This window comes from Homo sapiens, chromosome 8, assembly GCF_000001405.40.
Source record: "Homo sapiens chromosome 8, GRCh38.p14 Primary Assembly".
In the NCBI taxonomy this organism is placed as follows: domain Eukaryota; kingdom Metazoa; phylum Chordata; class Mammalia; order Primates; family Hominidae; genus Homo; species Homo sapiens.
Genome location: NC_000008.11, coordinates 60,977,534 through 60,990,274, shown reverse-complemented (window position 1 = coordinate 60,990,274; position 12,741 = coordinate 60,977,534). Strand labels below are relative to the sequence as shown.

Here is a 12,741-nt window from a genome sequence, read left to right as displayed (position 1 = left end):
AAACTGTCTTTACACAGTTAGCTTGTTGGAATTAGCAGGAGCCACACAAATCCACCGATGATACCTGAACATTGTGTTCATAGTTCTTAGTTCTCTCTCATTCCATCGTTTCCTCCTCCTGCTTTTTTTTTTTTTTTTTTTTTTTTTTTGGAGATGGAGTCTTGCTCTGTCACCCAGGCTGGAGAGCAGTGACGCGATCTCGGCTCACTGCAACCTCCACCTCCTGGGTTCAAGCGATTCTCCTGCCTCAGCCTCCATAGTAGCTGGGACTACAGGTGCCTGCCAACACACCAGGCTAATTTTTTGTATTTTTAGTAAAGATGGGGTTTCACCGTGTTAGCCAGGATGGTCTCGATCTCCTGACCTCATGATCCGCCCGCCTCGGCCTCCCAAAGTGCTGGTATTACAGGCATGAGTCACCGCACCCAGCCTCCTCTGCCTCTTTTATGCCATAGATTTAGTAGAGAAACCAAGTCATCTGTCCTGAACACTGTCCACATTCTGCACTTAGTTGACTGCTTTCTTGCAGTATCATATAACTTGTTTTCTATTGCCCAGGTTTTCCTGAAAACTGGCAAGATTTGTTTTGAAAATTTTTTCTTAGCCGCTTTGTGGAGATTTGATTATACAGTGGGATAGTGGACATTGAAACGCCCACATTACTTGCCCTGGCACAAGATAGTAGCCCCCAGACTAGAGCAATAGCACATAGCTTCAGGGGTCACGTAGACAAAGAAATGGGCCAATTCAAGAAATGTTTAGGAGGTGGAATCAACAACACTTGTGGACTAAGTGGAAAGGAGTGTGTTTCCAATGCTCTGTTAAGAATCTGCACTTTGGGAGGCCGAGGTGGGTGGATCGCCTGTCAGGAATTCAAGACCAGCCTGACTAACATGGTGAAACTCCATCTCTACTAAATATAAAAAATTAGCTGGGCATGGTGGCACATGCCTGCAATCCCAGCTACTTGGGAGGCTGAGGCAGGAGAATCGCTTGAACCCGGGAGGTGGAGATTGCAGTGAGCCGAGATCACGCCATTGCACTCCAGCCTGGGCAACAAGAGCAAAATTCCATCTCAAAACAAAAGAAAACAAAAAAAAAGAATCTGGGGCTAGGGCAGTGGCTCACGCCTGTAATCCCAACACTTTGGGAGGCCAAAGCAGGAGGATCATTTGAGCTCAGGCAAGGCCAGCCTGGGCAACATAGGGAGACCCCCATCTCTACTAAAAAAAAATTGTTTGTAATTAGCTGGCATGGTGGCCCACACCTGTAGTCTCACCTACTTGGGAGGCTGAAGCAGGAGGATCATTTGAGGCTGGGAGATCAAGGCTGTGGTGAACTTTGATCATGCCACTGCACTCCAGCCTGGATGACAGAGCAAGACTCTGTTGCAAAAAAGAATCTGAACCTCTATAAGACAAACCAAAAAAGCTACTTTCTCCTGGAAAAAACATTTACATGTTTCCCTACATTCTTTTCACAATTATCATTTATGGCAAGTTTTAAGGCATACAAAGTTGTAGTAGTATTGTTGGTGTTAAATTTTATTGCTGTGGCTTTAAAACATAAACAAAAAAAAATTCCTTCTTAAGTAGTTGGAAATTGTAATCATACTCTTGGGAATAGATTTTACTGCTATGGATACTGTAAAGCACAAAGATAATAAATTTAAATTACAGAATTAGTATTGAGAATAAATTTTATTGCTCTGGCTAGCACATTAAGAAGTAGAATTCATAACTCTTTTTTTTTTCAGCAGCTGTTTTACATAGAATGACTCTGGTTCTGGTGTGCAGGGAATATCAAAGGTCACCGGCATCACAGGTCATATGTCCTAATGAGGAACCCGGGCCCACGGGAGCAGCTTGATTCTTACAGGTTGTCTGGGAGCTGGAGAGAAGCTGTCCCAGGCACCAGTATCTGGCAGGTGGGAAGACTGGGAAGACTACCTGCACCTCCTCTTCTCAGCATTGAGGAGAGGTCATCTGGGTTGCTACTAACTTCTCCCCCAACCACTCGCATGGAGATGTCTCTGCACCCCCCAGTCTCTACAGGGTCCTTTTTTGAAAAGCTCTCCAGTTCAAGAATGGAGTTGGGTTTTGGTGTTGGATGGTCTTTCTCTTAGTGAACATTCTCTGCTCACTCTGCATCCATCTCAGTGAGGGGACAGCCACACACTCAAACAGGAATCAGAAGTCATTCTTGGCTCTCCTCTCCCTCACATCTGCCATTCACCAGCCCTGCAAATCCTACCTTCCCAGATGTCTCTCAGATTCCTGGCTCACTCCCCACCCCATTTCAGACTACCTTCATCTCTCACTAGCACTTTTATTATTTGTTAAGTTTTTTTAAGAGATTTGGTCTTGCTCTATCACCAGGCTGGAGGGCATGATCATGGTTCACTGTAGTCTTGAACTCCTGGCTCAAGCAATCCTCCTGCCTCAGCCTCTGAGTAGCTGGGACTACAGGCTCGAGCCACCACACTGGCTCTCATTGGCACTTTTATTACATCCTCTTTCCTCCATGCTTATCATGATAATGATGACCATTGTTACTGGGCATGAATGAAGTGTCAGGAACTGTGCTCAGTGCCTGATATCAGTATCTCATTTAACCCTCATAACATCCCTGTAAAGTAAGGATACATTTTTTTCATAAATGAGGAAATGGAGGTTCAGAGGTTAACTATTGAAAGATATCATTTATTTTTTTAAATCAGCAGGCCCAAGCAGAAAGTAAATCTTAGATCCTTTCCTATTCTTCAGTGACTCCCTGCTATCATTCCTTCTTTCCTTCCTTCCTTCCTCCAACAAACAGGCAACTTAGCATAAAACTCAAGAGCACTGCCAATCTCTCCAGACTCAACCATCACAACTCAAGTAACCGTAGCTCTCACAGAGTGACTGGTAGTTCTTGGGATGTCATTTGCTATTGTCTGCAATGTAACCCATTTCCATTTCATTTTCTAGCTTCTATTTATCCTTCAAGATTTATTTTAGACATCATTTCCATCAGGAAGCCACTCTTAACTATGCACTTCCAGACACATGAGCATGCACACACACAAAGCTGGGTATGTGGCTCCCCTCCCGGCTCCTCCAGTACCCTGGGCATCTCCCTATCACAGCGCTCATCACGTTCCATTGTAATCATCTGCTTTGTCTTAGAAATGCCTCTGGACTGTCATTTGCCTGAGAGCAGGGACTGTGTCTTCTGTCTGAACTCCCAGAATCTGATACCTAGCACACAGTGGCTACTCAATGGCAGCTTACTGAATGAATGCATGAGCAAATGAATAGGTTAAACTACAGTGAACTCAACAGCAATGATGAGTACAATGACACATAAGCCTTTCTAGTCTCAAAGAAATATCAAGTCATGCCTCTTATTCAGTTTGAGGAATGATACTACTATATTGTTTCAAATTCAATCTGCAATTACCCACCTGTTCTCATTCTAATGCCCAGTACGATGTTACCCATAAGCTTATGGCAGGATATAATTGATGGAGGATAAGCAGTTCCTTTCAGTGCCCTTTAGTGAGTGCATGAAAAATAGCACCTTAGCAAGCATATACATAAATGTTGGGAGTAATGTTTACCATGTTAACAACAAATTTGGAACGCTTCAGGTAGTTAAAGAAATCAGAAGGTTACATAAATTCTAATCTTCCGCAGTTCCAGAGTTGGCTCAATTCCTGCGAGCTTTTTGTTTGAGAGAAAACTCCTAAGTTCTTAAGTTATGTGAAGCTCTTTGCTTTGCAAATGGTCCCCACTGAGGTCATAAACTCCAAAAGTCAAAGAGTATGGAATTCGGGAATATAGAGAGTGGGAGAAGCTGACACAAGCCAGGCCTCTGACCCTGGCTGTTCATGGCTGGTTCCTGCCTCTGTTTCTGTTTCCATAGAAACAGCCATCCGATCAGCAAAAATAAGTTCAAGATTCTTCACTTTGTTTTCCTTTCTTCTTCCTTGGAGATAACTACTCAAGGTTTTGTTAATTAGAGAAAATGGGCTTGTGGCTGAAATTTAGAATCTTTTCAAAGTTTAACATTCTAGTAGAAACAAAGTGGCAAGTCTATCTGCACACTGGCCTGCCCCTGTGACAGCTGTCCATCCTTATCTAGGAAGAGGTTTTCATAACCTTTGCATCTACAATCGTCTTCCAAGTTACTTACAGCAGTTGGATAACCTTTATGACTGCACACATTGCTGGGTATTCAGGATGGTCCCTATCAAACTGAGATGAATGTGTTCCATAATGTCTGTTTTTATTACATTAGTCTGGGAAGATGAAATCAAAAGGACTACTTTCAACAAAAATGTCCTGTGTCGACAGTTCAATACTCTTTCTACAGGCCCTGGTGATTGCCCTTATTGTATGCCGGATAAAGGCTAAACGTGCAGCTACCTGCTAGTTTGACAAAGCTGTTCTCTCGCCAGCAGGTTGCTCAGGCTTTTTTTTTTTTTTTTTCACAGCAGCCCTCTAATTCCACCAAACCCACTGGATTAACAAAAACCTGAAAGTAAAATAGCACAAAATGATATCCCTGCATGAGCTACTATTATACTTTGCAACCTACAATTACACGGGTTCAATCTAAATGCCCCAAAACATTATTTCATTAATTCAAGCCATTTCAGAACTGGTAAATATTTTCTTTTCTTGGGTTTTTTATTATTACTCTGTTTCAGCAGAGAATTATGAGGCAGGCAAAGGCCACCTGAACGAGCGTAGTGTGGAGCCAACTGCACAGAGTCAAGATGACAGGAAAGGGAGGGGCTGGCACAAGGATGGGAACCAGAGTGGACAAAGTCCATTTGGAGGGAAAAAGAGAAACAATGAGCAGAAAGAGAGAAAGAGATCAAAGAGGAGGACCAGTGGCGATCAAGGTGGAGCTCTCAGGCTGGTAGATTGAGGTCATCTATTGCCCGTGGCTGGTGCCAGTTATCCCGACAGCAGGGTCTGGCACAGCTGTGTGCCGTGGACATTGGGCATGCACAGAAGCTGGGGACTCACAGCGGATTGAAAGCCCCATGTTGGAGGTGTCCTGAGGTCTCTGAGTCGAACCTTTTAAAGAGATTTCCTCCCGTGACAGAATCCTTGGACCAATATAGATGCACAGTGTGTAGTTAATTGACTTTCTGAGAGAAGAAAAAATAGCCTTAACATTCTTAGTTGGTCCGAAATCTTCCTTCTGTAAAATAGCTTTCAGGGTTGGAAAAGAGGATTTGGAGAGGACTTCGCTTGGGCAAAGGGTGCAAATGAACTCATGTGTATGGGTGGGCAGCGCTGTGTTGAGAGGCTTACAGAACACTTACAGACTATTTCTCCACCACTGATTCATTCCAGAGGCAGCAAGGGGGTTAAGAGGAGGGATTTGGGAAAGAAAGGAACCTCTATTCCAGGAGCAGCTCTGTCACTTCCTAGCTGTGACCTAGGGGAAGTTATTTAACTTCTGAAGCCACCATTTCCTCATCTACAAGAAGAAAATAAAAATAGCACCTACCTCATAGAGTCCCTAGGAAAATTAAATGTGATGATCTGGGTACCATGCTTAGCACACTGCTGGGCACATATTTGACCTTGGATGAAAGGTAGTATTAGTTGAAGCATTTTTAATGGTGTGAATAGAACTAGACTTTATGGGCCAGGCACGGTGGCTCACGCCTGAAATCCTAGCACTTTGGGAGGCTGAGGTGGATGGATCACCTGAGGTCAGGAGTTCGAGACCAGCCTGGCCAACATGGTGAAACCCCATGTCTGGTAAAAATACAAAAATTAGCGGAGCATGGTGGCGGACGCCTGTAATCTCAGATCTCAGCTACTCAGGAGGCTGAGGCTGGAGAATCACTTGAACCTGGGAGGCAAAGATTGCAGTGAGCTGAGATCCCGCCATTGCACTCCAGCCTGGGTGACAAAAGCGGAATTCTGTCTCAAAAAAAAAAGAAAAAAAAAAAAGAAGAGGAAAAAAAGAAAAAAAACTAGACCTTTTGACTCTTTGTAAGTGAGGACAAGCAGTTAAAGACAATAGGGTCTTAATTCTCATTAGCAAATACTGGGACAAGAAGCTACACACAGGTGGAAAGCAGGTGCTGGAATGAGAAAGATATCCTAGGGAGAAAGTGATTCCTCCAGGGTCATCCTCACCACCCTTTCCCATTGGTGAGGAAGGAGCAGGGGAGGGAGGGACCCAGGAGGTGCTGGGGGCAGGGTCAGGGTACAGGCTAGGCTGGGGCTGCAGCCAACCCAACTGGCTGGAATGCAGGTCAAGCCAGAAGTTCTCCTTTCCAAAAAGGAAAATCCTTCTTCTGGAAAATGTTCATGTTCTGAACCTCAGGGCAGGGCAGGTGTTGGTGGGGGCTGTGGGAGGGTAGCTCTACCAGGAAAAGGAAGACCTGCCCAAAAGTCCTACCAGGCTTTAGGAGGAAGTGGGGGTCTCTGGTTATTGTTCAGGCAGAGATGAACTGCCAGCTGCAGCTCATGGTCATTGTGCTTCCACGGATTTCACACTGTGTGCACAATTACGTAACAGCAGACAACACAGCAAAGGTGCCAATTCCCTCTGCCAAGGCACCTGGATATGCTTCTTTCCTGGGACTGGGTGCAGCACTCAGACATCATAAACCTTGATGCTCCCTCCCTTCTCCCTGCAAAACCTCACTGAGCTTCCAGAGTCTTCCCTGGGGGCACCTCACACCCTATCCTTTGGATGGAGAAATAATTCCTTGCTGGTTAGTGTCTAGGACAGATGATCATTGAAAACCTCTGTGGCAGCAAAGGCTTTTTGAAAATGCTGGCTCCTTGGTTCCCTTGCCCTCCCTGGCTGCTGGGGAGGGAAACCAGCTGCATCCCGGAAAACAATTCCACTCAACAAACAATGCAGTGCCCCGAATACTCATAATGAGGTCTGGTTCAAATGTTGGCACACATACAACATATTAATTAAAATAACGTGCATGATAAATAATATTGAGATCCAAAGCACAGAACTCCTCTGAAATCGCAGTTGGTAATTATGTGAGCGCCTGCTAACACACACTCAGAATTCCAGTGTTGCTTATGTGACAAAATTAGTCTCAGAGAGGTGACCTTGAGAGGTGTCTTGTGTGAGCATCCTCCTGCTCATAGACTGTACGATGTTTAAATATCCCCGGAAACAGAGTATCCATCCTAATTTTCAAGCCCTCAGGGAAGAAATTCCTTAAGAGACCTCAATAATTCAATTTAATAATAATTATATGAGTACCAGCTAGCGTAAGTCTTTCTGCTTAGCCCTGGGGATGGGGTAGGCAGAGCATGATTCAGTTTGGGGTGTGGGGGGTTTGTTTGTTTTTTGAATCAAGTTCTTACTCTGTCACCCAGGCTAAGTACAGTGGATGTGACTGTGGTTCACTGCAGCCTTAAACTCCTTGTCTCAAGCCATCCTCCCGTCTCAGCCTCCTGAGTCACTGGGGATTACAGGCATGAGCCACCATGCCCAGCATCACATTTTCAAGGAGTAGTAACTGGTTATTGGGTAATATCTGTCCCAGACAGGAAGTTCTTCTAGATGCCTCACCTAGATCTTTCAGGCTGCAGTTAAAAACCTCACTGCCACTTATTTAGTCAAGGATTCCAGTTCTAAGGCTTCTAGGGTCTTTATTAGGTATCAGGGGCTGGGGGCAGTGGTGACAATAGGCAAGTGTCCTAGAACTTCCACTCACCACCAAGATCCTGACCTAAAGGTTCTCACCAATTCCAGCACAGTGAGGCAATTATATGCTGTCTACTTTACATAGGCCTTTTAAAGGATTACCAAATTTGACATTTATTGGCCCAGTTAGTACAGAAATCTAACTGAGAAAGGAAGAGACCCTATTATCTTGATTCCAAAATCATTTTCTATTTGTGCTTCAGTCAACATTCCAGCATCTGGTTAAATGTATTTAATTTCATTCCCTCAACAATAACCCACGTACCACACCAGTGACCACAACTTTGGTGTCCCAGCTCCTAAATTCTATTAGTGTTCAGAAAGCCTCTTGGTTTCAACATAATGTTCAATCAGTGCAAAGAAATTAATTAAATTAAAATTATTTTTATTGTGATTTAATTAGCTTGATTTAATTACTTTGTTCACTGACTGAGCATTCTGTTGTTACGGCCAGACCCTTGCTCTCATTCGTGGCATGAATGTTCCCACAGAATTACACATTTTCTCTGTTCAGCCATTGGAGCAGGCTGGCGGAGTTTGCCAGAAACTCATGATTTATCACAATCAGCATCATCACAAATTATAGGAAGCATCCAGCAAAATGATAACTTCTAAATGAAGTGTCTGAAAGCAGGTCACACCACCAGCCTTGGCTGTTAATCTGTCATATTTCACAGTCAGCCTGACACCCCATCTAATTCGTCGCGCCTCCTGCTTCGCAGGGTGCCCTCATGAGGGGTCCCGCTCTTGCACAGGCCTCCATCCTTACAAACACCAAGTCTTGCCATCCTCGGCCTCCCGGCAGACAGGACTCCACACCCACCCTGGCCGCTCAAGCTGCTGTTCCTCTGTACTTTCTGCCACTCAGAGGTTCATGAACTAAAATTTAGCATCTCCTCCAATTATGAATATAGAACAAACCACAGAGCATCAGCAAACCCCAGATCTTAGCCACCAGGGAACACCAGATATTTGCACAATGACATTGCAGTTACTATAACTATCCTGGAACACTGTCTACTATCTTCATGCCTGCAAAGCAACAGCGAGTATGAGTCCCCTCCGTGGACAACACGTGATCCCCACGTTTCTTCCTGCAGGCCACTCCACACAGTTCAGTGTGCTGAGTCAAGCTGAGCAGCAGCCTGTTTTGAAACATGCTGATATCTTTCACAAATAAAATCATCTTTAACTTGCCTGTATGTGAAATGCACCATCTTGATTCATGTGCTCAAAGCTACATAAATTCATTTTCTTATGTTCTAGCATCTGTATTTCAATATATTTGGCTTGTGGCATACTCCTATGTATTTTATTGTGTGATTTAAAACCATTGTTCTGAGAAGGAATCCATAGGCTTTGCCAGATGGCTCTAACAGTAGGGACCTAAGTTTTTTGTTCCTGTGTTAATTTCCTGTGGCTGCTGCAACTATTACTACAAACTTGGTGGCTTCAAACAACAGAAATATATTCTCTTAAATTCAACATCAGCATCACTGGGCTGAAATTAAGGGCCCTCCTCCATTTGGAGGCTCTAGAGAAGCCATCCCCAGCCTCTTCCAGCTGCTGGTGGTTTCTGCATCCCTCCCCCTGTGGCCGTGTCACTCCAGTCTCCGCCTCTGTACCCACATGGCCTCCTCCTCTTCTGTGTGTCCTCTCCCTCTGCCTCTCTCTTATGAGGGTGCTTTCTTGAGTCTTTTTGATGGGCATTTAAGGTCCATCAAAAGGATGATCTCATCTCAAGGTCCTTAATTTAATCACATCTGCAAAGACCCTTTCTCTTTTTCTTTTTTTGAGATGGGGTCTCACTCTGTCACCCAGGCTGGAGTGCAGTGGTGCAATCACGGCTCACTGCAACCTCCACCTCCCGAGTTCAAGCAATTTCTCATGCCTCAGCCTCCCCAGTAGCAGGGATTACAGGCATGTGCCACCATACCAGCTAATTTTTGTATTTTTAGTGGAGGCGAGGTTTCACCATGTTGGCCAAGCTGGTCTCAAAATCCTGACCTCAGGTGATCCGCCAGCCTTGGCCACCCAAAGTGCTGGGATTACAGGTGTGAGCTATCCCACCCGGCCCCTTTTTCCAAATAAAGTAACATTTATGTGTTCCAGGAATTAGAACCTGATATCTTTGGGGCCAGCATTGAACCCACTACCGTTTCTATGCTTAATTCTTTATTGACCATACAATTCTAGCCCTGAGTCTTATGACATAGAGACATAAAATGCTTTCAAAGATGTGACAAGATTGATACCAAATTAAATTAAATACACATCCATGCCAAAGCCCATTAAAATAATTAGTTAAGGATTGAGGTAATGGTTAAAGAAAAGGCAAAGCCTTATAAGTTTTCCCCAAGACCTAGAAGAGGACACAGGACTGTTTGTTTGCCTCTAGATGAATAAAATACACGCTTTGCAAACCTGGCCATTAGAACTTGTGCAGTTCTTGAGCCCTGAAGATCTCACAGGGCTTGGGTCAGCAGTTCTACTTCTCCCTCCTAAGCCTCTCATCCTGCCCCAAGGGTGTTGTATTTATGTCTTCTACAAAGTGTTGAATGAGGAACTTACGCTGTTGACCAGAAGTGAAAAAGGGCAGAGATCATGTCTTTTTCAATTAAATAGAACAAGAGGAAGTAAGTGTTAACTTCGACCTGATAGTGATTAGAACAAAATCCCTATAGTAAAGTGCACTGGACCAGAGTTTATTTTCCAAAAGAGTTCTACAATCACCTCTTCTGGACCTCATGAAAAGGGTGCATGGGTTGAACCCAGGCAGGCTGACAGTGTGACAACCTCTCCCTAGAAATCAGACCTGCCTTCCCACCCCAGCTACAACTCTTCTTGTGTAATTTTATTCACAAAACTGTCTTTCTAAGCACCACTTCCTCACCTGGGGTTGGTGGACCATGTGGGCTCCTTAAATGCAGGACTCGCTCTTATTTTTCTGTGTGCAGATTTGAGCACATTGCCTGGCACACACACAAAACCCTCAATACACAGTTGTTTACTTCAGTTGAATGTCTGCCTTACCTAACTCAAGACTCAAAGCAGATACCGGGAGGGATGCCTCTAGAGATAATTCTGAAACTCTCCATTAGACAGGAGGAATCAGTATTGCTGCAGATGTTGTTGCTCTTCTACTAAGTCATTTCTCAAGGTTCCCTCCAGCCATGTGATATTTTTGTCTCTTTTAAAATTAGCCTCAGAGAGTGCTCATCTGTGCTGGAAATGAGTAGAAAGAGGTCTTGGTTACACAGACTCTTCAATTCAGAGGGCAGGCCCCATCGAGGGGAGCTGTGTGCAAACCTTGATGCTCATCTTCTGACTGGAAGGGACCTTTGAGACTGTCTAGTTCAACAACCCCCCTTTATAGATAAGAAAACAGAGTTGTTCAATGTCACCTGGCTTGCTAGCACAAATAACTCAGGCAACTAGAACCCAGTCCTACTGGCTTCTAGTCCAATGCTCTCTCCACTCTGTTATGTTCTTTCTTTAACATAAGGTCTACACTTGGCCTTGTAAAACTAGCTCAATGTGCTACCTCACAGCTAAATTTTTCAAGTTGTCAAAATATAGAGTATGTAGGTGACTCCTCTCACACAGGCTGGATTGTGAGAATCCACTAATAAAACCATTAGAAGATATTCTGAAACAGTTTGGAATGGTTTTAGTTTGCTTGATTTTATAGTGTTATAGTGTACCATTTTTATTCCTTTCTTTCCCTGTATTTTTTTAGTTATTTCTTTTTTTTTTTTTTTTTTTTTTTTGAGATGGAGTCTCGCTCTGTCACACAGGCTGGAGTGCAGTGGTCTGGGCTCACTGCAACCTCCACCTCCCGTGTTCAAGCAATTCTCCTGCCTCAGCCTCCTGAGTATCTGGCATTACAGGCAGGTGCCATCACCCCTGGCTAATTTTTGCATTTTTAGTAGAGACGGGGTTTCACCATGTTGGCCAGGATGGTCTCAAAATCCCAATCTCAGGTGATCCGCCTGCCTCGGCCTTCCAAAGTGCTGGGATTACAGGCATGAGCCACTGCACCTGGCCTTTTTTAGTTATTTCTTAGTGGTTACCTTGGGATTACAATTAACATCTTAAACTTATTACAACCTAGTTTCAACAAACCAACTTAATTTCAATAATATACAAATATTCTGCTCATATATATTTCCATTCTTCCTTGTTTATATTGTTTTTCTCACAGATTACACCTGTATACATTGCATGCCCATTAACATATAATCATTGTTTTATGCATTTGCCTATTCAATTATCTAGGAAAAGAAAAGAAGATACATACCATATCAAAAGCATGATGTTGGACTTCATATTTACCTATGTAGCTACCTTAGCCAGTGCTCTTTCTTTTTCTTATGGCTTCAATTTACTATTAATATCTACTGTCCTTTCTTTTCAGCCTGAAAGATTCCCTTTAACATTTCTGTACCAGGCCTACTGGTAATGAGCTCCCTCAGCTTTTGTTTATCTGGAAATATTTAGTTTTCCCTTTATTCTTAAAAGATAGTTTTGCTAGATATACAATTCTTGGTTTCCAGTTTTTTCTTCCAGGACTTTACATAAGGAATTCTGGTCTCCATGATTCCTGAGGAGCAATTGGCTGTTAATCTTATTGCAAATTCCTTGTACAGAACAAGTTGCTTTTCTCTTGTTGCTTTCAAAGTTCTCTCTTTGTCTTTGGTTTCAAGAATTTGACTATAATGTGTCTCTGTGTAGATTTCTTTGAGTTTATGCCTCTTGGAGTTCATTGAACTTCTTGGATTTATGTATTCATGTATTTCCTCAGATTAGGAAAGTTTTCAGCCATTATTTATTCAAATATTTCTTTCTTCTACATCTGGAAATCCTAATTTGTATGTTGGTGTGTTTAATGATACCCAACACATCACTCATACTCAGTTCATTTTTCTTCATTCTTTTTTCTTTCTGCTCCTTAGACTGGATAGTCTCAATTGTCTCAAGTTCATTTTGCCTGCTCAGATCTGCCGTTGAGCACCTCTGGTGAGTTTTTCATTTTAGTTTTTGCAC

General features: G+C 43.4%; 1 protein-coding gene across 1 annotated transcript in view, besides 1 other annotated feature; it reads right to left on the bottom strand.

Moving 5' to 3' along the window:
- CLVS1 (clavesin 1) overlaps positions 1 to 12,741 on the bottom strand; it is a 536,782-nt gene that overhangs the window by 511,355 nt on the left and 12,686 nt on the right. The gene's annotated exons all lie outside the window — the stretch shown is intronic.
- Positions 10,510 to 10,569: an enhancer, noted in NCBI's record as "active region_27436". NCBI's record gives its function as "activates an Ori minimal core promoter by ATAC-STARR-seq in GM12878 lymphoblastoid cells {active_cell/tissue: GM12878}" and the evidence as "EXISTENCE:reporter gene assay evidence [ECO:0000049][PMID:35858748]".